This window comes from Homo sapiens, chromosome 1 (assembly GCF_000001405.40).
Source record: "Homo sapiens chromosome 1, GRCh38.p14 Primary Assembly".
NCBI lineage: Eukaryota > Metazoa > Chordata > Mammalia > Primates > Hominidae > Homo > Homo sapiens.
This window is the reverse complement of record NC_000001.11, coordinates 176,214,708-176,236,636: the sequence shown is the minus strand read 5'-3', so window position 1 is coordinate 176,236,636 and position 21,929 is coordinate 176,214,708. Positions and strand designations below refer to the sequence as shown.

The 21,929-nt window shown below is 40.7% G+C and overlaps 1 long non-coding RNA gene, 1 other non-coding gene and 1 pseudogene across 2 annotated transcripts in view, besides 4 other annotated features; 1 reads left to right on the top strand and 2 right to left on the bottom strand.

Annotated features, from left to right (window-relative positions):
- Positions 1-21,929, bottom strand: part of COP1-DT (COP1 divergent transcript) — a 58,469-nt gene that overhangs the window by 29,497 nt on the left and 7,043 nt on the right. The window contains exons 2-4 of the long non-coding RNA NR_185981.1: positions 17,991-18,103; positions 8,388-8,452; positions 7,273-7,548 (exon numbers count right to left, since the gene is read on the bottom strand). This is a non-coding gene — a long non-coding RNA (COP1 divergent transcript). The remainder of the gene's footprint in view (positions 1-7,272; positions 7,549-8,387; positions 8,453-17,990; positions 18,104-21,929) is intronic.
- Positions 4,807-5,453, top strand: RPL13P7 (ribosomal protein L13 pseudogene 7; annotated as a pseudogene).
- Positions 6,283-6,782: an enhancer, noted in NCBI's record as "H3K4me1 hESC enhancer chr1:176198991-176199490 (GRCh37/hg19 assembly coordinates)". NCBI's record gives its function as "activates a minimal SCP1, AML or CMV promoter by ChIP-STARR-seq in primed H9 embryonic stem cells {active_cell/tissue: H9 hESC(primed)}" and the evidence as "EXISTENCE:reporter gene assay evidence [ECO:0000049][PMID:30033119]".
- Positions 8,626-9,615: an enhancer, noted in NCBI's record as "NANOG hESC enhancer chr1:176196158-176197147 (GRCh37/hg19 assembly coordinates)". NCBI's record gives its function as "activates a minimal SCP1, AML or CMV promoter by ChIP-STARR-seq in naive H9 embryonic stem cells {active_cell/tissue: H9 hESC(naive)}" and the evidence as "EXISTENCE:reporter gene assay evidence [ECO:0000049][PMID:30033119]".
- Positions 10,631-11,266: an enhancer, noted in NCBI's record as "OCT4-NANOG hESC enhancer chr1:176194507-176195142 (GRCh37/hg19 assembly coordinates)". NCBI's record gives its function as "activates a minimal SCP1, AML or CMV promoter by ChIP-STARR-seq in primed H9 embryonic stem cells {active_cell/tissue: H9 hESC(primed)}" and the evidence as "EXISTENCE:reporter gene assay evidence [ECO:0000049][PMID:30033119]".
- Positions 11,267-11,903: an enhancer, noted in NCBI's record as "OCT4-NANOG hESC enhancer chr1:176193870-176194506 (GRCh37/hg19 assembly coordinates)". NCBI's record gives its function as "activates a minimal SCP1, AML or CMV promoter by ChIP-STARR-seq in primed H9 embryonic stem cells {active_cell/tissue: H9 hESC(primed)}" and the evidence as "EXISTENCE:reporter gene assay evidence [ECO:0000049][PMID:30033119]".
- Positions 19,035-19,096, bottom strand: LOC124904756 (U7 small nuclear RNA). The gene has a single exon (XR_007067324.1). It is a non-coding gene; the product is annotated as a U7 small nuclear RNA (small nuclear RNA).

Here is a 21,929-nt window from a genome sequence, read left to right as displayed (position 1 = left end):
TCTCCAAAGAAGGTACAGAGGCTGGGCGTGGTGGCTCAGGCCCGTAATCCCAACACTTTGAGAGGCTGAGGGGGGTGGATCACCTGAGGTCAGGAGTTCTAGACCAGCCTGGCCAACATGGCAAAATCCCATCTCTACTAAAAATACAAAAATTAGCCAGGCAGGATGGCAGATGCCTGTAATCCCAGCTACTCAGGAGGCTGAGGCAGGGAAAAATGCTTGAACCCGGGAGGCAGAGGTTGCAATGAGCCGAGATCATGCCACTGCACTCCAGCCTGGACAACAGAGCAAGGCTCTGTCTCAAAAATAAATAAATGAATAAATAAATAAATGAATAAATAAATAAATAAATAAATAAATAAATGAAAAAATTAAAATACTTCTGTTCTAGGATCCTTTCCAGAATACATTATGTTTAATCATCATGTTTCCTTAGGATCTTTTGGATGTGACAGTTTCTCAGACTTTCCTAGTTTTGGTGACCTTTACAGCTTTGAGAAGTACTGGTCAGTTATTGTAAAGAATGTTCCTCAACTGGAATTTGTTTGATGTTTTTCTTATGATTAGACAGGGTTTATGGGTTTTTGGGAGCAAGACCATAGAGGTAAAGTCACATTATATCAAAGACACTTGCTAGCAATATGACTTGGGTGTTGAGACTTTGATCACCTGGCTGAGGTAGTGTTTGTAAGGTTTCTACACTGTAAGTTTTCTTCTCCCCATCACCCCTCTTCCCATACTGTATTCTTTGGAAAGAAATTACTACGCCCAGTCCACACTTAAGGAGTGAGGAATCATGTTTCACCTCCATGAGGTGGGAGACTTTAACACCCCACTGTCAATATTAGACAGATCAAAGAGACAGAAAATTAACAAGGATATCCAGGACTTGAACTCAGCTCTGGACCAAGCAGACCTAATAGACATCTACAGAACTCTCCACCCCAAATCAACAGAATATACATTCTTCTCAGCACCACATTGCACTTATTCTAAAATTGACCACATAATTGGAAGTAAAACACTCCTCAGCAAATGTAAAAGAAAGGAAATCATAACAAACAGCCTCTCAGACCATAGTGCAATCAAATTAGAACTCAGTATTAAGAAACTCACTCAAAACCACACAACTACATGGAAACTGAACAACCTGCTCCTGAACAACTACTGGGTAAATAATGAAATGAAGGCAAAACTAAATAAGTTCTTTGAAACCAATGAGAACAAAGACACAACATACCAGAATCTCTGGGACACAGCTAAAGCAATGTTTAGAGGGAAATTTATAGCACTAAAAGCCCACAGGAGAAAGAGGGAAAGATCTAAAATAGATACCCTAACATCACAATTAAAAGAACTAGAGAAGCAAGAGCCAACAAATTCAAAAGCTAGCAGAAGACAAGAAATAACTAAGATGAGAGCAGAACTGAAGGAGATAGAGACATGAAAACCCCTCAAAAAATAAATAAATCCAGGAGCTGGTTTTTTGAAAAGATCAACAAAATAGACCACTGCCAGACTAATAAAGAAGAAAAGAGAGGGCCGGGCGAGATGGCTTATGCCTGTAATCCCAGCACTTTGGGAGGCCGAGGTGGGCAGATCACGAGGTCAGGAGATTAAGACCATCCTGACTAACACGGTGAAACCCCGTCTGTACTAATAATACAAAAAATTAGCAGAGCGTGGTGGTGGGCACCTGTAGTCCCAGCTACTCGGGAGGCTGAGGCAGGAGAATGGCGTGAACCCAGGAGGCGGAGCTTGCAGTGAGCCAAGATCGTGCCACCGCACTCCAGCCTGAGTGACAGAGCGAGACTTCGTCTCAACAAAAAAAAAAAAAAAAAGAAGAAGAAAAGAGAGAAGAATCAAATAGATCCAATAAAAAATGATAAAGGGGATATCACCACTAATCCCAGAGAGATACAAACTACCATCAGAGAATACTATAAACACCTCTACTCAAATAAACTAGAAAATCTAGAAGAAATGGACAAGTTCCTGGACACATCCACCCTCCCAAGACTAAACCAGGAAGAAGTCAAATCCCTGAATAGACAAATAACAAGTTCTGAAATTGGGGCAGCAATTAATAGCTTACCAACCAAAAAAAATCCAGAACCAGACGATTCATAGTCAAATTCCACCAGAGTTACAAAGAGGAGCTGGTATCATTCCTTCTGAAACTATTCCAAACAATAGAAAAAGAGGGACTCCTCCCTAACTCATTTTATGAGGCCAGCATCATCCTGATACCAAAAGCTGGCAGAGACACAACAAAAAAAAAGAGAATTTCAGGCCAATATCCCTGATGAACATCAATGTGAAAATCCTCAATGAAATACTGGCAAACCAAATCCAGCAGCACATCAAAAAGCTTATCCACCACGATCAAGTCGGCTTCATCCCTGGGATGCAAGGCGGGTTCAACATATGCAAATCAATAAACGTAATCCATCACATAAACAGAACCAATGACAAAAACCACATGATTATCTCAATAGATGCAGAAAAAGCCTTCAACAAAGTTCAACAGCCCTTCATCCTAAAAACTCTCAATAAACTAGATATTGATGGAACGTATCTCAAAATAATAAGAACTATTTGTGACAAACCCACTGCCAATATCATACTGAATGGGCAAAAACTGGAAGTATTCCCTTTGAAAACTGGCACAAAACAAGGACGCCCTTCCTCACCACTCCTATTCAAAATAGTATTGGAAGTTCTGGCCAGGGCAATCAGGCAGGAGAAAGAAATAAAGTGTATTCAATTGGAAAAGAGGAAGTCAAACTGTCTCTGTTTGCAGATGACATGAGTGTATACTTAGAAAACCCCATCGTCTCAGCCCAAAATCTTAAGCTGATAAGCAACTTTAGCAAAGTCTCAGGATACAAAATCAACGTGCAAAAATCACAAGCATTCCTATACACCAATAACAGACAGAGAGCCAAACCATGAGTAAACTCCCATTCAAAATTGCTACAAAGAGAATAAAATACCTAGGAATTCAACTTACAAGGGATGTGAAGGACCTCTTCAAGGAGAACTACAAACCACTGCTCAACAAAATAATAGAGGACACAAACAAATGGAAAATCATTCCGTGATCATGGATAGGAAGAATCAATATCGTGAAAATGGCCATACTGCCCGAAGAAATTTATAGATTCAATGCTATCCCCATCAAGCTACCATTGACTTTCTTCACAGAATTGGAAAAAACTACTGTAAATTTCATATGAAACCAAAAAAGAACCCACATAGCCAAGACAATCCTAAGCAAAAAGAACAAAGCTGGAGGCATCACACTACCTGACTTCAAACTATACTACAAGGCTACAGTAACCAAAACAGCATGGTACTGGTACCAAAACAGAGAGATAGACCAATGGAACAGAACAGATGCCTCAGAAATAACACCACACAGCTATGACCATCTGATCTTTTGCAAACCTGACAAAAACAAGAAATGGGGAAAGGATTCCCTATTTAATAAATGGTGCTGGGAAAACTGGCTAGCCATATGTAGAAAGCTGAAACTGGATCCCTTGCTTACGCCTTATACACAAATTAACTCTAGATGGATTAAAGACTTAAATGTTAGACCTAAAACCATAAAAACCCTAGAAGAAAACCTAGGCAATACCATTCAGGAAAGAGGCATGGGCAAAGACTTCATGATGAAAACACCGAAAGCAATGGCAACAAAGCTAAAATACAAAAATGGAATCTAATTAAACTAAAGGGCTTCTTCACAGCAAAGAAACTATCATCAGAGAGAAAAGGCAACCTACAGAATGGGAGAAAATTTTCGCAATCTATCCATCTGACAAAGGGCTAATATCCAGAATCTACAAAGAACTTAAACAAATTTACAAGAAAAAAACAAACAACCCCATCAAAAAGTGGGCAAAGGATATGAACAGCCACTTCTCAAAAGAAGACATTTATGCAGCCGACATATGAAAAAATGCTCATCATCACTGGTCATCAGAGAAATGCAAATCAAAACCACAATGAGATACCATCTCACACTAGTTTAGAATGGTGATCACTAAAATCGCAGGAAACAACAAGTGCTGGAGAGGATGTGGAGAAATAGGAATGCTTTTACACTGTTGGTGGGACTGTAAACTAGTTCAACCATTGTGGAAGTCAGTGTGGCGATTCCTCAGGGATCTAGAACCAGAAATACCATTTGACCCAACAATCCCATTACTGGTTATATACCCAAAGGATTATAAATCATTCTACTGTAAAGACACATGCACATGTATGTTTATTGTGGCACTATTCACAATAGCAAAGACTTGGAACCAACCCAAATGCCCATCAATGATAGACTGGATAAAGAAAATGTGGCACATATACACCATGGAATACTATGCAGCCATAAAAAAGGATGAGTTCATGTCCTTTGCAGGGACATGGATGATGCTGGAAACCATCATTCTCAGGAAACTATCACAAGAACAGAAAACCAAACACCACATGTTCTCAGTCATAAGTGGGAGTTGAATAATGAGAACACATGGATACAGGGAGGGGGACATCACACACCAGGGACTGTCAGGGGGTGGGGCACTAGGGGAGGGATGGCATTAGGAGAAATACCTAATGTAGATGACAGGTTGATGGGTGCAGCAAACCACCATGGCAAGTGTATACCTATGTAACAAACATGAAAGTTCTGCACATGTACCCCAGAACTTAAAGTATAATTTAAAAAGAAAAAGAAAAAAAAAAAGAAATACCTCAGACTGGCTTTCTGATCAGTTGTTTTCCTGCACAGGCAGGCCATAGGCAGCCATGGTGCCCAGCCATAATGGCATGATCTCGAAGCCCCACTTCCGCAAGGACTGCTAGCAATGTGTGGCCAAGTGGTTCAACCAGCTGGCCCATTAGATCCGCAGACGCAAGGCCCAGCAAGCAAAAGCACACCGCACTGCCCCATACCCCGAGTCAGGACCCATCCAGCCCATCATGTAGTGCCACACTATACACTATCACACCAAGGTGTGCATCAGCCGCACTTCAGCTTAGAGGAGCTCAAGGTGGCAGGCATTCACAAGAATGTGGCCCAAACCACTGGCATCTCTATTGATTGGAGGAGGCGGAACAAGTCCACTGAGTCCCTGCAGGGCAATGTGCAGCGGCTGAAGGAGTACAATTCCAAGCTCATCCTCTTCCCCAGGAAGCCCTTGGCCCCTAAGAAGGGAGACAGTTCTGTTGAAGAACTGATATTGGCCATCCAGCTGACAGGACCAGTCATGCCCATCCAGAAGGTCTATAAAAAGGAGAAAGCCCTAGTCATCACTGAGGAGGAGAAGAATTTCAAAGCCTTCGCGCATCTCCTCATGGCCTGTGCCATTGCCCAGCTCTTTGGCATAAAAGCAAAAAGAGCCAAGGAAGCTGTAGAACAGGATGTTGAAAAGAAAAAAATAAAGCCCTCTTAGGGATTTGTAATAAGTCAGCAGTAATGCTGCGGGAGGAAAAAAAAAAAAAAGACATATCTGAGACTGGGTAATTTATAAGGAAAAGAGGTTTAATTGGCTCATGGTTCCACAGACTGTACAGGAAGCATGGCTGGGGAGGCCTCAGGAAACTCCCAATCATAGCAGAAGGTGAAGGGGAAGCAGGCATATCTTACACGGCTGGAGCAGGAAAAAGAGAGAAGGGGGAGGTGCTACACACTGTTAAACAACCAGATCTCATGAGAACTCACTATCATGAGAACAGCATGGGGCAAATCCACCCCCATGATCCAATCACCTCCCAGCAGGCCCATCCTACAACATTGGGGATTACAATTTGACATGAGATTTGGGTGGGGACACATATCCAAACCATATCACTTGGATTGGGTTTCAATGTACTCCTGTAACTCAGTGATCTTTGTTCCTATCCGTATTCTGAATACTGTTTTTGTCATTTCAGCCATCTCAGCCCAGTTCAGAACCCTTGCTGGAGAAGTGATACAGTTGTTTGGAAGAAAAAAGGCACTCTGGCTTTTTGAGTTTTCAGGGTTCTTGCACTCATTCTTTCTCATCTTTGTGGGCCTATCTACCTTCAATCTTTGAGGTTGCTGACTTTGGGATATTTTTTCCTTTTAACCTATTTGATGATTTTGGGGCTTTGATTGTGGTATAAGGTAGATTCAGCTGACTGGCTTTATTTCTGGGAAATTTTAGAAGGCCAATGCTCAGCTTCCAACTTCCGGACTGCATGCTGTATTCTGGGGGACTTGTATTGGTTCCCAACTTTGTTCTCTGGCTCCCTGAGGTTAGGAATCCACTGTGCTGTGGGTGGCACAGGAGACAAGGTACAGCAGCTGCAGCAGAGTGCTAGTGGGTGCCAGGGTGCCTGCCTTCCTGCAGGTGATCACCACAGTGGGAGAGGCAATGCAGCTGGGGAGTCAGTAGGTGTTGGGGGCCCTGCTGGCAACTGTGTGTGCAGCTGCACTGGTGGCGGTGTTAGCTCAGGTGCAAGGTGCTGGCAAATGCAGGTCTGGTTGCCTTCTCTGTGCTCTGCAAACAGGAGGGATCGCTCAGTGTTGCAGAGGATCTGCTGATCTCTCATAGTGTTAGCACGAGAGTGGGCACTGGTGGGGGAAGGGCTGGCTGGCTCTGTGCCCACCAAGGCTCTCTCTGCAATGGCAGTTGGTGGGGATGGGAGGTTGGACTGCACTCCTGCACACTGGTGGGCAAGGAAAGCAAACCTGCCTCTGCAGACATTGCCAGCAAAGTGATGTGGGGAGTTGCCATGGGCCTGGGGGGATGCTGCAGTATGGGGAGGGAGCAGGTGGGCTGGTGTGTGGCCATAGGGGCTGCCCGGCTGGAGCTGCCAGTCAGGCATGGTCTTCCAGGCACAGAAGCAATGGTGTGGGCCGCCAGGGCACTAGAGACTGCTCTGCAAGCAGGTGTAACCAGGCTGGGGCTCCTAGAGAGACCAGCAGACCAAGGGGTGCTCAGGTTGGACCAGCCCCACCTGATGGGGAAGACCACCCTGCAGAGATCATGTCTGACAGTTCCCCTAGGGCTAAAGTCTTCTATGGGAGCAAGTTGAGCCTAGGATGGCCATCCCTGGCCATGTTCCACTACAGACACTCCTGCAGTATACCCTCTGTGCTCCACACCAATGGCTTGCTGCCCCTACCCCTTCTCTAAGCAGCTCTCCCTGCCAACTCGAATGTCTGTGATGGTGAAGGGGTCTTCTCCTACAGGGGTTCCAGAGGCCCATGGCAACAGTGGGTTGTTCCTTGACAATTCAACTCACCTGATCCCCCAGAGCCATTGTGGGCCAGGAACAAAACCTGGTGTGCAGTAGTCCTGTGCCACATTCCCAGCTTTCACTACCTTCAGCCCAGCTTCTGTGTCTTCTCTCTGTCCACTCCTGGTTTCTTCCCTCTGAAGATCTGTTAGGGGCATTCCAGTCATCTTGGTCCCGCAGTGGGAGCTCTTCCACCTGGCTGTGTCTAGTCAGCCTTCTGAGTAAGATCCATTCCTGACTCCTTTTCTTTCCTATTCCTCTTCTTCCAGATAAGATAACATTCTATTAGCCAAGAGAAGTCAGCAAAAAAGGGGGGGAAAAAAACAAAATAATGAATTTGGCAAATTGAAAGCAAGTAACAAAAATGATAGACTTCAGTCCAAACATATCAATAATTTCATTAAATGTAAGAAGATACATATAGGTTAAAAAGAAAAAGATAAAGATATATCATGTAAATGGTATGCAAAAGAAAGCTGAAAGTTTTATTAATATTAGGCTTAATGGACCTCAAGACAAGAAGAATAAAGACAGAAGAGATATTTTAATAAATGGATCAATCCATGAAGAAGACTTAAAAATCCTAAAATGTAGGTAGCTTAATAACTGAGCTTAAAAAATTGATGAAGCAAAAGCTGACTGAACTAAAGAGACAAATAGACAAATTCACAGTCAAAAGTAGAGATATTGGCTGGACACAGTGGCTCACTCCTGTATTCCAGCACTTTGAAGGATGATTGGGAGGATCGCTTGAGGCCAGGAATTCAAGACCAGCTTAGGTAACATAGCAAGACTCCATCTCTACAAAAATAAAAATAAAAACTTAGCCAGATATGGCAGGCGGCACATGCCTGTAGTCCTAGCTACTTGAGAGTCTGAGGCAGTAGGATCACTTGAGCCCAGAAGGGTGAGACTGCAGCGAGTCATGATCATGCCACTGCACCCCAGTCTGGGTGACAGAGTGAGACACTGTATCTAAAAAAAAAACAAAAGTAAAAATAAAAAGAAGTGGGGATATTAATTTTCTTTTTAATAATTAGATAAAAATCAGTAAGGATATAGAAGATCTTAAAATAATTATCAACCACCCTAACCTAACTGAACTTTATAAAACAATTTACCCAACAACTGCAGAATTCACATTCTTTCTTGTGCACACAGACCATTTGCCAAGATGGACCTTATCCTGGAATGTAAAACAAGTCCCAATATATTCTAAAAGCTTGAAATTTTCCAGAGTATGTTCTCTAAAAACCAAAATTAAATCAGATATTAATAACAATTGAAGATTTTTGAAAAGCCTCAAATATTTGGAAATTAACAAACTTTTAGTAACTAGGCAAAGAAGAAATAGTAAGAAAAATTAATAAATATTTGAATCTACATAATAATAAAAATATATCAAAATTTGTTGGATAGAGCTAATGAGTACTATTAAACAAAAATTACAGGAAGCTATTGCTCTGGACTAAACTCCTCCACTAGGCCCCAACAAAGTAGAGTAAAAAATCACAACGAAGCCAGTGATCACCGAACTGAAACTGAGCTGCTCTTGTTGCTATCAGAGTTATCAGGAGAGAGAGATAGCCTAACTTCCCAAACAGGCCAGTTTTAATCTTTAATCAGCATGATAATGAAGTTCCCTCTGTTTTAATCCTACAATAAAGAATTACCCAAGTAACTTGATGTTAACCAATCAGCCATCTTTCTCTTGTTCTGACCGCTTAGCCCTTCCCTAAAAAGAAAGTAACTTTGAAATGGCCAATCCACTATTTGTTATTTGTTTCTGCTTTCTTCAGTCCTCTTATAAAGCCAACCTCTTCTGCTGTATACATGAGAGCACTTAGTCTATTTCATGGAATAAATTGTTACCTGAAATTTATCTTTGACAGTACTTAGAGGAAGTTTATCAATTGATATACAAAATGACGTACAACAAAATCAATTTTTTTCTCATCAATGTGTTAATGAAATGATGTTGAAGAAAACAATGTTTTCGGAAGATCTGCTGTACATTGTTTGCTTAAAGTTGCAGTTCCGAAGAACCTATTGACATGTTAAGTGAGGACTTACTATATCTTCAAGTTCACTAACTCTTTACTCTGCCAGACAATCTACCATTGAGTTCCTGCGGTGAATTTTATTTTTCTTCTTGAGCAGCCAGAAAAGACTTCCAGGGAATTTTTTTATTTCAGTTACTTTTCAACTCCAATATTTCCATTTGGTTCTTTACAGTTCCTATCTCTTTATTGTTATTCTCTATTTAATGTAACATTGTTATATCTTCCTTTCCTTTTTTTTTCTTTTTAAATTCAAGACAGAGTCTCACTCTGTAGCCCAGGCTGGAGTGCAGTAGGCTCAATCTCAGCTCATCTGCAACCTCTGTCTCCCAGGTTCAAGTGATTCTCATGCCTCAGCCTCCTGAGTAGCTGGGATTACAGGTGCCTGTCACCATGCCTGGCTAATTTTTGTATTTTTAGTAGAAATGGGGGTCTCACCATGTTGGCCAGGCTGGTCTCGAATTCCTGACCTCAAGTGATCCACTTACCTTTACCTCCCAAAGTGTTAGGATTACAGGCGTGAGCCACCGCACCTGGCCTATCTTCCTTTACACCTTTAATCATATTTTCCTTTAGTTCTATGAACATATTTATAATGGCTAGTTTAAAGTATTTTTCTGTTAAATCTGACATCTAGTTGCTCTTATGGGCAGTATTTGTTGCATGTATGCACTAGAATTTCCCGTTTCTTCGCACACCTCATAATTTTGTTAGCAGTGGCAAATCCATATGCAACTCAATTTTTGCCTCCTTGGAGGAAAGAATTAGACTGCGGGGCATAAGGCAGAGTGAGAGATTGAGGCAAGTTTTAGAGCAGGACTAAAGGTTTATTAAAAAGTTTTCAGAGCCAGGCATGGTAGCTCACGCCTGCAATCCCAGCACTTTGTGAGGCCGAGGCGGGCGGATCACTTGAGGTCAGGAGTTCAACACCAGCCTGGCCAACATGGTGAAACCCCATCTCTACTAAAGACATGAAATTAGCTGGGCATGGTGGCACGCACCAGTAATCTCAACTACTTGGGAGGCTGAGGCAGGAGAATTGCCTGAACCTGGGAGGTGGAAGTTGCAATGAGCCAAGATTATGCCACCGCACTCCAGCCTGGGCTACAGAAAGATACTCTGTCTCAAAACAAAACAAAACAAAAAAGTTTTCAGAGCAGGAATGAAAGGAAGTAAAGTACACTTGGAAGAGAGCCAAGCAGGCAAATTGAGAGATCCAAGTGCACTGTTCAGCCATTGACTTGGAGTTTTATACTTTGGCATGGTTTCAGAGTTTGCATTTCTTCTCCCTTGATTTTTCCCTTGAGGTGGGCTGTCCACATATGCAGTGGCCTCCCAGCATTTGAGAAGGGCTGCATGCGCAGTGTGTTTACTGAAGTTGTGTGCATACCCATTTGACATGTTTTTCCCTTACCAGTTGAGTGTTCCTAGAGGAAGGTCATATACCAGTTAAACTCCACCATTTTGCCTTTTAGTGCACATGCATGAGCCCACTTGCCTAATCCTGAGAGCTCATCAGGAAGCTGCTGATGACCAGCTTCAGGTTTTTTTTATCTATCGGGACACTGCCTTTCCCTGGCACTGGGTGTGACCAACTACTATTTTCAATAGTCAGTTTAACAAGTTCCCTACCATCATTTGATGGTCACTTGACATTCCTAAGGGTGGAGGGCCCTCTTTTGCCCTGCTCATGTTTGCCTAGCTATCTACTCTTAACAATTTTTTGTTGGAAAACAGAAATTTTTAGATAATATATTTTAGCAATGGTTATACTGCCCCACCTTCTGTTCTGGGACTTGTTATTATTTGATTTTTTTTGTGTGTAATGATTATTTGGATTATTTCAGTGAAATCTGTGCTCCTCCACCACACATATATGCACGTGCACCCCCAAAGCAACACACACACACACACACACACACACACACACACACAGTGTTAAAACTCTGATCTTGCTCTTTAGGGAGGTACAGCTTTAGGTATGCCCAACCATGACCCTGGGATGACAGTTGCTTGCTTTCTTTCTTCGACCATATCCAGCTGTTAAATTCCACTAATTGCTGTCTGATTGCTCTATTGTTTTCAACAATGTCCTGGGAGGCATAAATTGCTCTACAAACTAATCCAATCAAATGTGGCTCCTTTAAAGTAATGGTTTTTAAGGACAGTGTAATTTTTCTGACCCCAAAAAGACTCCTTCTGGCTGTTTTATTCCCAATCCCTTCCTAATTGTTTTTCACTACACCTCCACTGTTTATGCTCTTAGCCTTGAACTTCTCTAGCTGCTTTACAAATGAAGTAAATTTCCTTGGGAAGAGATTAGAAGCTATCTGTTTTATGGCTTTCCTCTCTCCCCAGGCCAAATTTCTGATTGGTGCTGGGGACAATAGCAAGCTTCTCTCTGAGTGATACCCTTGCCCTGGGAGTTGAGTGCTTGGTGAAGTGGGGGCAAGGCAGCAGCCTGAGGTCCTCTCAAGAACTATGGGGCCCCAGTATTCTCAGTGCACTGGGACCAAGGCCTGGATTGTTCTTGTCAAAGACAAAATTACAACAAATTTAGTTTAGAGATCTTAATTAGCTCTATTTGTAATTCGAGAATCAGGCAACATTTCATTTCCATTGGAAAGTCTTCCAATGAACTGAGCAGAAGAGGTTGGTTTTATAGACAGAGAAGGGCTGAAGAAAGCAGAAGTAAAGAATGACACATGTGTTATTTACCATTTTTTCTCTAGAGACAGGATCTCGCTATGTTGCCCAGGCTGGAGTACAGTGGCTACTCACAGGTGTGATCATAGTGCACTATAGGCTCAAACTCCTAGTTTAAGCAATCCTGCCTCAGCCTCCCCAGTAGCTGGAGCTACGGTCACATGCCACAGTGTCCAGCTTAGTTACTTTTTAAAGTTACTTTTTCAAGTTACTTTTTCTTATAAGGCAAGGACAGGGTGACAGAACAATTTAAAAAAAAAAAAGCAGAGAGAATGTCATTATCATATTGATTAAAGATATAAACTGGCCTACTTAGGAAATTAGCTGTTATCTCACTCTCCTGATTTCTTGGAAGGTCAGATGGCAACTTCATTGAGGTGTAATGATGTGGAACTTTAGCATGGGTGACTCTGTTTTGATTTTTAGTCTGATCTGTTGGGGCCTAGTATAGAAGCTTAGTCCAAAACAATGGTCTTCTATAATTTTTATTTGACATTCATTTTCTTTTGTTTTCCTGTTTTGGGTTTTTCTGTTTTGTTTTGTTTTGTTTTTTTGAGACAGGGTCTCACTCTGTCACCCAGACTGGAGTGCAGTGGTGTGATCTTGGCTCACTGCAACCTCTGCCTTCTGAGTTCAAGCAATTCTCCTGCCTCAGCTTCCCAAGTAGCTGGGATTACAGGCATGCGCCACTATGTCTGGGTAATTTTTGAATTTTTTGGTAGAGACGGGGTTTTGCCATGTTGGCCAGGCTGGTCTCAAACTCCTGACCTCAGGTGATCGGCCCACCTCTGTCTCTCAAAGTGCTGGGATTATAGGTGTGAGCTGCCGTGCCTGGCCTTTATTTGACATTCTTAACTCACACAATAGCCTTTACTTTCCAAGTTAGTAGTCATTTGTGCGTCATTGTCATAGCAGTACCACAGACACTCACACATGTTCCTTTGATATTAATGGAACATTTCAGTTCATTGTTTCTTCTGCCTACTGCAATCAGGACGTCCACATTTTAAAATTATTCCCTCCTAACAATAAAAAATTATTTAGTTACCTTCCTGTAAGTTGAAAGAAGTTGGCCTTCCTGCCATTTTCCTTTGGAAAATATGAAATAATTATATCTTAATTCATATGCAAGGCTTTTTATTTTTTATTTGTTTACCAGATTGAGGTTTAACCCTCCTCCCGGGCTTAATTATGGTCATCCACCCCTAGAAGATAGGCCTTTCTGAGATTTATTCCAATTAGAAAAAAATGTAACACTTGTTACACATTTGGTATTCATTGAAGAGTTTCTCTAGGGTAGCATGATCCCTGAACTCTGAAAACTGAAGTAGGGTTGTGGAAACTGAAGAGTGAATTTTTTTTTTCTTTTTTCTTTTTTTTTTTTTTTTTGACAGGAGACAGGGTCTCACTCTGTTGCACAGGCTGGAGTGCAGTGGTACAATCATAGCTTACTGCCTCAAACTCCTGGGCTCAAAAAATTCTCCACCTCAGCCTCCTGAGTAGCTGGGACTACAGGCATGTGCCACCATGCCTGGCTAACCTTTAAATTTTTTGTAGAGACAGGGGTCTCACTATGTTGCCCAGGCTGCTCTTGAACTCCTGAGCTCAAGTAATCCTCTTGCCTTGGCCTCTCAAAGTGCTGGAATTATAGGCATAAGCCACTGAACCCAGCCAACAGTGAATTCTTTATGTACAAGTTTCAGTTTGAAAGGGTATGAATTAATATAGGAGAATTGAACTGTAGGGAGAAAGAATACACAATTACTCTGACACTGAAACCACTCTACCCAGTGATTAAGAACTGTCTGGAGATCTTTTGGTCAAGAATGAGCCTGTGAGCTCCAAGATTCAAATGGCGAAGCTCCTTTTGCCGTCCTTGCAAACACATGACAATGAAAAAGTGCATACAAATTTAAAGGACTTAGCTCAGCTAAAAAATAAGAAAAGCATTTCCTTGACTTGAACAGATGAGGACACAGATCTGCCTATCTGAAGCTACAGATCTGGGCTATAGAATCAGAAACCACATAGATGACAAGAGTACAATTTCTGTGGGGCAAGTGGAGTTTTAACTAGTGGCAGGCACCAAAGTCAGGCTCACAGTGTAAAACTGGATATTAACAAGAGGCTTGCTTCTTATATATTTAGATTTAAAAGGGTTTTGGCCTATGTCCAGGGCTTATAGTTCACATCTGGTAGCTTCTTGGATTAGGAGAAATGAGGTAAACCATTGTTCTCCTGGCAGGATATGAGTCTTATCCATTGATTAATGTAAGACTCTCTTCAAATTGGGGACCTGGGGAAACTGGATAAGTCACAAGAAATCTGCCAAATATAAGAACGTAAACATGGGGATAAGAAAAGCAAGACAAACACAAAACAGAAAAGCCTGCTCCTCAAACTGGACTTTTACAAGGATATTTCTGTAGGTCATAGGTACATTCACTATCTTGATTGTGGCAATGGTTTTGCAGGTATATACATGTTAAAACTCACTAATCACTAAATATGGGTAGTTCATTGTATGTCAATTTTTACTCAATAAAACCTTTTTAAAAAGTACTTACAAACCAGTTTTAAATTAGTAAAAATAAATTCATCATAAAATAGGTAATCAGCTCTAATACCAAAAAATTCTATCTAGAAATGAAAAACAAAATAATTTTCTGAAAATAAGTATGATATGAGAATGCTTAAAATCTTCAAGAAGGAAAGAAATAATATACAGAAAGCAAGAACAAGGAAATAATGAAATAACAACAAGAAAAAGGTGGATATCAATCCAAGAGCAGGAAGATTAAAAAAAATTATTAAAAAATCTGGAAATGTAAAATATAGCCATTGTGATTAAAACACAATAGAAATAATAAGTGCTATACTAAATAAAATCTAAGAATTAGTAAACTGCAAAAGTATTAAGACAATTACCTGAAACATAGCTTAGAAAAATAAAGAAATAAAACACCTGAAAAAGGAACACATGAGAAATAGAGAATACATAGAGGAATTCTAGAAGGAAAGAATTGGGGCAATGAAGGAGGAGTGTAATTTGAAGAATAGCTGAATTAAAGAAAAATGTGCATCCACAAATTGCAAGGGCATACTGACCAGAATTAAATAAATAAATTCACAGATAAACAAATGTAGAAAATTAAGAATAAAGAAGAATTCATAGATTAAAAAATTGGAGGTGGGTGGACCACTTGAGCTCAGGAGTTCGAGACCATCCTGGACAATGTGGCAAAACCCTGTCTCTACAAAAATCACAACTAGCCAGGCATAGTGGTGTGTGCCTGTAGTTCTGTTACCAGAAAGGCATCCTGATCTAAACCCCCAGAGAGGTTCTTGGATCTCACGCAAGAAGGAATTCAGGGTGAGTTCATAGAGTAAAGTGAAAGCAAGTTTATTAAGAAAGTAAAGGAATAGGCTCTTGAGCTGCTTGCTCGAGCCTGTCTGACTCTGTAGAGTGTACTTCCATTTCAATATATCTGTGCTTTTCTTATGTTAAAAAAAAAAAAAAAACCGCTTTGGGAGGCCAAGGCAGGTGGATCACCTGAGGTCAGGAGTTCAAGACCAGCCTGACCAACATGGTAAAACCCTGTCTCTACCAAAGACACAAAAATTAGCCAGGTGTGGTGGCACATGCCTGTAATCCCAGCTACTTGGGAGGCTGAGGCAGGAGAATTGCTTGAACCCGGGAGGCGGAGGTTGCAGTGAGCCAAGATCACACCATTGCACTCCAGCCTGGGCAATAGAATGAGACTCTGTCTCAAAATAAAATAAAATAAAATAAAATAAATAAAGCAAAGGAATAAAAGAATGGCTACTCTACAGGCAGAACAGTGGCATGAGCTGCTGGTTGCCCATTTTTGTGATTATTTCTTGATTATATGCTAAACAAGAGGCGGATTATTCATGAGTTTTCTAGGAAAGGTGTGGGCAATGCCCAGAACTTAGGGTTCCTCCCCTTTTTAGACCATCCAGGATAATTCCCTGACATTGCCAGGGCATTTGTCGTGGCGCTGGTGGGGAGTGTCTCTTAGCATGCTAATGCATTATAGCTAGCGTGTAATTAACCATGAGGATGATCAGAGGTCACTCTTATTGCCATCCTGGTTTTGGAGAGTTTTGGCAGGCTTCTTTACTGCAAGCTGTTTTATCAGCAAAGTCGTTTATGGCCTGTATCTTGTTCAGACCTCCTGTCTCATCGTGTGACTAAGAATGCCTTAACCTCTTGGGAATGCAGTCCAATAGGACTTAGCCTTATTGTACCAAGCCCCTATTCAAGATGGAGTTACTCTGGTTCAAATGCCTCTGAGCATTTTAGCTACTCTGGAGGCTGAGGCGGGATGACTGTTTGGGCCCAGGAGGTTTAGGTTGCAGTGAGCTGTGATCCCGCCACTGCACTCAATAGGACAGAGTGAGATCCTATTTTCTTTACTTCTGAAAAGAAAATAAAAAACAAATAAACAAAAGAATGAAAATAAACGAGCTAACTGACAGTTTCAGAAGAATAACAGAATAAACCCAAACAATGTAAATGTTAATTCTTTATTTAAAATTTTAAGGAAAAAACCCCACTACCACACTTAAGGCTAATGGGAAATGGCATCCAATTAAACATAGAAATATGTAGCAAGACCAACCAAGGGAAAAAAGAAGGAAGAATGCACAAATAATAAAATTATATATGCAAAGTGGAAGAGAAAACAGCATAAAATACAGAATCAATCAGTAGAGGTTTTAAAAACCATAAACAGACCAGGTATGGTGGCTCATACCTGTAATCTCAGCTCTTTGGGAGGCTGAGGCAGGTGGAAAGCTTGAGGCCAGCCTGGCCAACATGGTGAAACCCCCTCTTTACTAAAAATACAAAAATTATCCTGGTGTGGTGGTGCACACCTGTAGTCCCAGCTACTCAGGAGGTTGAGGCACAAGAATCACTTGAACCCAGGAGGCAGAGGTTGCAGTGAGCAGCGATTGTGCCACTGCACTCCAACCTGGGTAACAGAGCAAGACTGTGTCTCAAAAAAAAAAAAAAGGCAAGTTAATGTCAATAAATTTTAAAATTTAGATACAATAAACTGTTTTATAGAAATAATACATTGAATACCAAAATAAACTGGCTAAAGAAATGAACTGAATAGCTCTTCCAAAGTATAAAAAAAAAGATAATATCTTTCTTATATAAACTTTCAGAAAAGAGCGGAGGAAAATAAAGTTACTCCACTCATTTTACAAGGCTAATATAAGCTTGATATCTAAACCAGAGAGAAACAGCCTAAGAATGGAAAGGTGTAACCAACCTCACTTGTAAACACAGACATAAATATGTTAAAATATAAGAAAAGTGAATGAGTAGTACACTTAAAAAATTATTATGATGACCAGGTGGAGTTTATTTTAGGAGAAAAAAAGATGTAATCGACTAAATTAACAGATTAAAAAATATGATAAGTTATAAGCAAAAAAGCCTTTGGCAATATACACCTCTTATTCTTGATAGAAAATCCTACAGCTTGGAAACAATCGAACAGCTTTAATCTGAAACCTACAACAAAAGGTATACACACAGTATAAAGAAAAAACTATAGAAGCATTTGCACTAAAATCAGTAACAAGAATGCTCTCTATAGAGCAGGAAAAACTATTTGCAATTCACAAAGAGCCAATTTCCCTAATATTTAAAGAGCTCCTGTAAATATATACAGCATTTCTTTCTCCAATTAGAATGAACTCTTCTTGAAGTTGGAAACAATCCTTATTTACTATTCACCCCCAGGACATGAGATAGTGCGGGGCATACAGAATTGTTACACGTTGTTACATAAATACATAATTGTTAAATAAGAGTTGTTCCTTGGTATTCTCAGGATGTATTAGTCCATTTTCACATTGCTATAAAGATACTACCTTAGACTGTGTAATTTATAAACAAAAGAGGTTTAATTGACTCACAGTTCAGCATGGCTGGGGAGACTTCAGGAAACTTAGAATCGTGGTGGAAGGGGAGGCAGGCACCTTCTTCACAAGGCGGCAGGAGAGAGAAAGAAGTCCAGGGGAAACTGTAACTTATAAAACCATCAGATCTCGTGAGAACTCCCTCAGTATCACAAGAACAATATGGGGGAAACCACCCCATGACCAATCACCTCCAACCAGGACCCTCCCTCAGCACCTGGGGATTACAATTCAAGATGAGATTTGGGTGGGGACACAAAGCCTAACCATATCACAGGGGGACTGGTTCCCGAAGCCAAGCGTATACCAAAATCTACAAACACTCAAGTCCTGCAGTCCACCCTACAGAGCCCACATATAGGAAAATTCAGCCCTTGTGTACCTGGGTTTCATATCTGGCGAATAATGTATTTTCCAAACACATTTGGTTGAAAAAAAATCCATGTATAAGTGGACCCTTGCAGTTCAAACCTGTGTTGTTCAAGTATTTGTTGAATGTAGTAGACTGCCAAAATAGCTTTTTACTTCTTGTAAGGACAAGAGTGATGCCTTCCAAGCTCTTTACACTTCAGAGTTGAAACCAGAAGGTGAACAAGTTTTTGGACACTTTGCTTACAAGTAAAGTTTTTTAAAAGTAGAAAGAGCCAGGCTGAGTGGTGCATGCTTATAGTTTCAGCTACTGGGGAGGCTAAGGTAGAAGGACTGCTTGAGTGCAGGAGTTCAAAGCTGTATGTGTTGCACTATGATTGCATCTGTGAATAGGCACTGCACTCTAGCCTGAGCAACATAGCAAGACTCTCTCTTAAAAAGACAAAAAAGAAACCCCTAAAAACTGAATTTTTTTTTAAAAAAAGTGGAAAGTGTGGCTTCAGGCAAAAAGTAAGTAATGTTAACAAATTCCTTGTATTTGAAAGGAAGCCTTGGAAGCACTGATAGGGATCTATTCAGACTCCAGCTGTCATAACTCCCAGGCCTGTAGTAAAAGTTTCAGCTTAAAAGCCAAGCCAGCCATACCTTCTCATTTCTCAGCATTGTCTAAGTGTCAGTCTCTTTGAATCATTTTCTAAACTTGCTAGACAAATTCTAAAAGGGCTGTAACACTCTGAATAATGTTTTCTGATGACCAGGACATACAGACCATGAGGCAACTGTAGCCTCTGTACAGAAAGAAGAAAATTTTGATCAATTGGAACAAAATGCCCCTTAATAAAATTTTGGTTAAGCTCTCTCCTTCCTCCAGACCCCTAAATTTTGCCCCACCATTATCCTGAAAAAGCATACAGCCCCTCCGGAGAATAAACTGGCCTCCAGGTAAAATAGTCTCTGATCTATCTGATCACGTCACCCGTTTGCCTCACTTCCCCATACCTGGTTCTTTCTAGCTTTGTTTACTCCTTATAAAAGAAAAACTCTTTTTTCCTAAATCTCAAGTCACTTGTAGACCTGTGGTCAAAGCATTTTTCCCACTACGATTTTTGCCCCCTAATGCAATAATTCTTTTGAATAAAGTCTCTCCTTATAAAGTCTGGATTTGACTTTTATTCCACAGTCTCCCTAATAATTTATCTTTCTATTGCCTACCCTGTGATATCCCAAGCCTAAGGGTTTCAGGTTTTATGATTAACCTTAATACTCAAGATAAAATGATGAGACACCACATGGAGCAGATTGCTGCTGTTGCACCTGAGGTCCTTGTAGACCCATTAGCCTCCAGCCAATCCAGCAGCAGATTACAGACATAGAAGGGAGTCCCAGGGAGACCTAAAGGATTTCCCATCTGAGCTCAGTAAAAATTGCCAAAGTGTGGAGTCATGAACTATATAAGAGAATGTTGTTTAAGCCTCTAAGCTTATGTATGCTTGTTATGCAGCAATAGATTAAGGGTATATTGACTGAATATATGAATGAATGAAAGAATGAACAAAAATCAATCTGGAGACTGTGCTGACTCCTAAGTAAGAAGGCAAACAAGGATCTCCATAGCAGATTGTTACTGGGGCTTCTGATCCAAGATGATATATAGTATGTGATCTGACACAGATGAAAAAAAGTCTTTTGAGTGTATTTTTGAAACATCAGTTGCTATGGGGGTGTTTGGAAGTGTATCAAATGGTGTCACCCACTAAAAATATGGAGTCATGATATTAAGAGAATACTAGTGAGTTCTTAGTGAGTCATGCATTCACCCTAGTCTAAAAAATATCTTCATAATGTTGTAAAGACAAGTCAAAATTACATAGAAAGTTGGATTAGTTTTTTAAGGCACTTGTAAAACGTGAGGGTATATTAATTCAACATCTATTCAGTAAAAATACAATAACCCTTCCCTTTATATACCAGGTACTTTACTGGATGCTGGGAATAAACCAGTAAAGACATAGTCATCAAAATCAAGAATCTGAGTTGAACTGAAAGATACTGACAATTACAATAGTAAATGCAAGGACAGCAGTTAAGGAATTTATTGCCTATGTAACTTTATATTTTGGGATAGCACTAAGATCAGACATGGCTGGATTCAAGGCTGAAATGATGTGGTCAGAATTTAACTTCCCTACCTTCCTCCCTCCATTTCTCTCTCTCTCTTTCTTTCTTTCTTTTTTTTTTTTTTTTTGAGACAGAGTCCCACTCTCTTGCCCAGGCTGGAGTGCAGTGGCACGGTCTCGGCTCACTGCAACCTCCACCTCCTGGGTTCAAGCAGTCCTCCTGCCTGAGCCTCCCAAGTAGCTGGGACTAATTTTTTTATTTTTACGGGCTATTTTTTGTATTTTTAATAGAGATGGGGTCCGGCTAATTTTTGTATTTTTAGTAGAGATGGGGTTTCACCATGTTGGCAAGGCTGGTCTTGAACTCCTGACCTCAGGTGATCCACCCACCTCGGCTTCCCAAAGTGCTGGGGTTATAGGCATGAGCCACTGTGCCCAGCCATCTCCATTTGTTAACTCTGCTTTCCTCTGTTGGTCTCATTCAGGGGTTCCACATGGTAGCAAGATGGTACCAAGATGGTGGAAACAGTTTCAATCCCAATCTGAAGATCTCTTATGCTTCAGATCCAATGAGAAAAACAACAACAACAACAACAACAACAAACAAAACACAAGCTCCTCTTTCTTGAATCATTTGCTCATCCTTGAACCAATCTCTCAGGAAGGCATTGTGAATGTGATTCACTGGTTTAAACCTGGATTATATGCTACACTTCCTGGAGTTTTGGGCTCTGTTCAGAACCACATGGACAGAAAAATAAGAAAGAGCACAGATCCTCAAATGTTACCAGAAGTAAGGCAAATGGATGGTGGGGGCCAAAACACAATCAATGTGCACTATATAGAGCCTAGGGTTTGTCTTTCTCATTTACCGCAAAATTTTACACACATTTATCATTTGTTTTTTTTTTTTTTTTTTTTCTGAGACAGGGTCCCACTATGCTGCCCAGGTTGGACTCAAACTTCTGGACTCAAGGGATCCTCCTGCCTCAGTCTCCTGAGTACCTGGGACTAAAGATGTGTACCACTGCACCTGGCTTGGTTTACCTTTTTATGCTGGCCTTTGTCTTTGACATATGTGGGTTTAATTTTTATTGTTCTTAATGTTGCTAAATATGTCCTTCTTTTTCTTACTGATTATTTTAGGACATTTAGCCAAATTCTCCATAATTCTCACCACAACATTAATTGCTTGTGCATTTTCTTCTCATGAGGAAAAAATGGAAATAAACTGTGACTCAATATTGTTCTCAAGAAAGTCCCACCAAGTTCTGTGTGTGTCTTTCTGAGAAAGATACCTTTTACATTAGTAAAACAAATGGAACATGTAATTTTACAGTTTTGTTGAATAAAATCTCTACTCAAATTTTAACAGCTACTGTTAAAAATGGCTCTTAGATACCTGTATTAATTTGCTAGGCTGCCATAACAACATACCACACACCAGGTG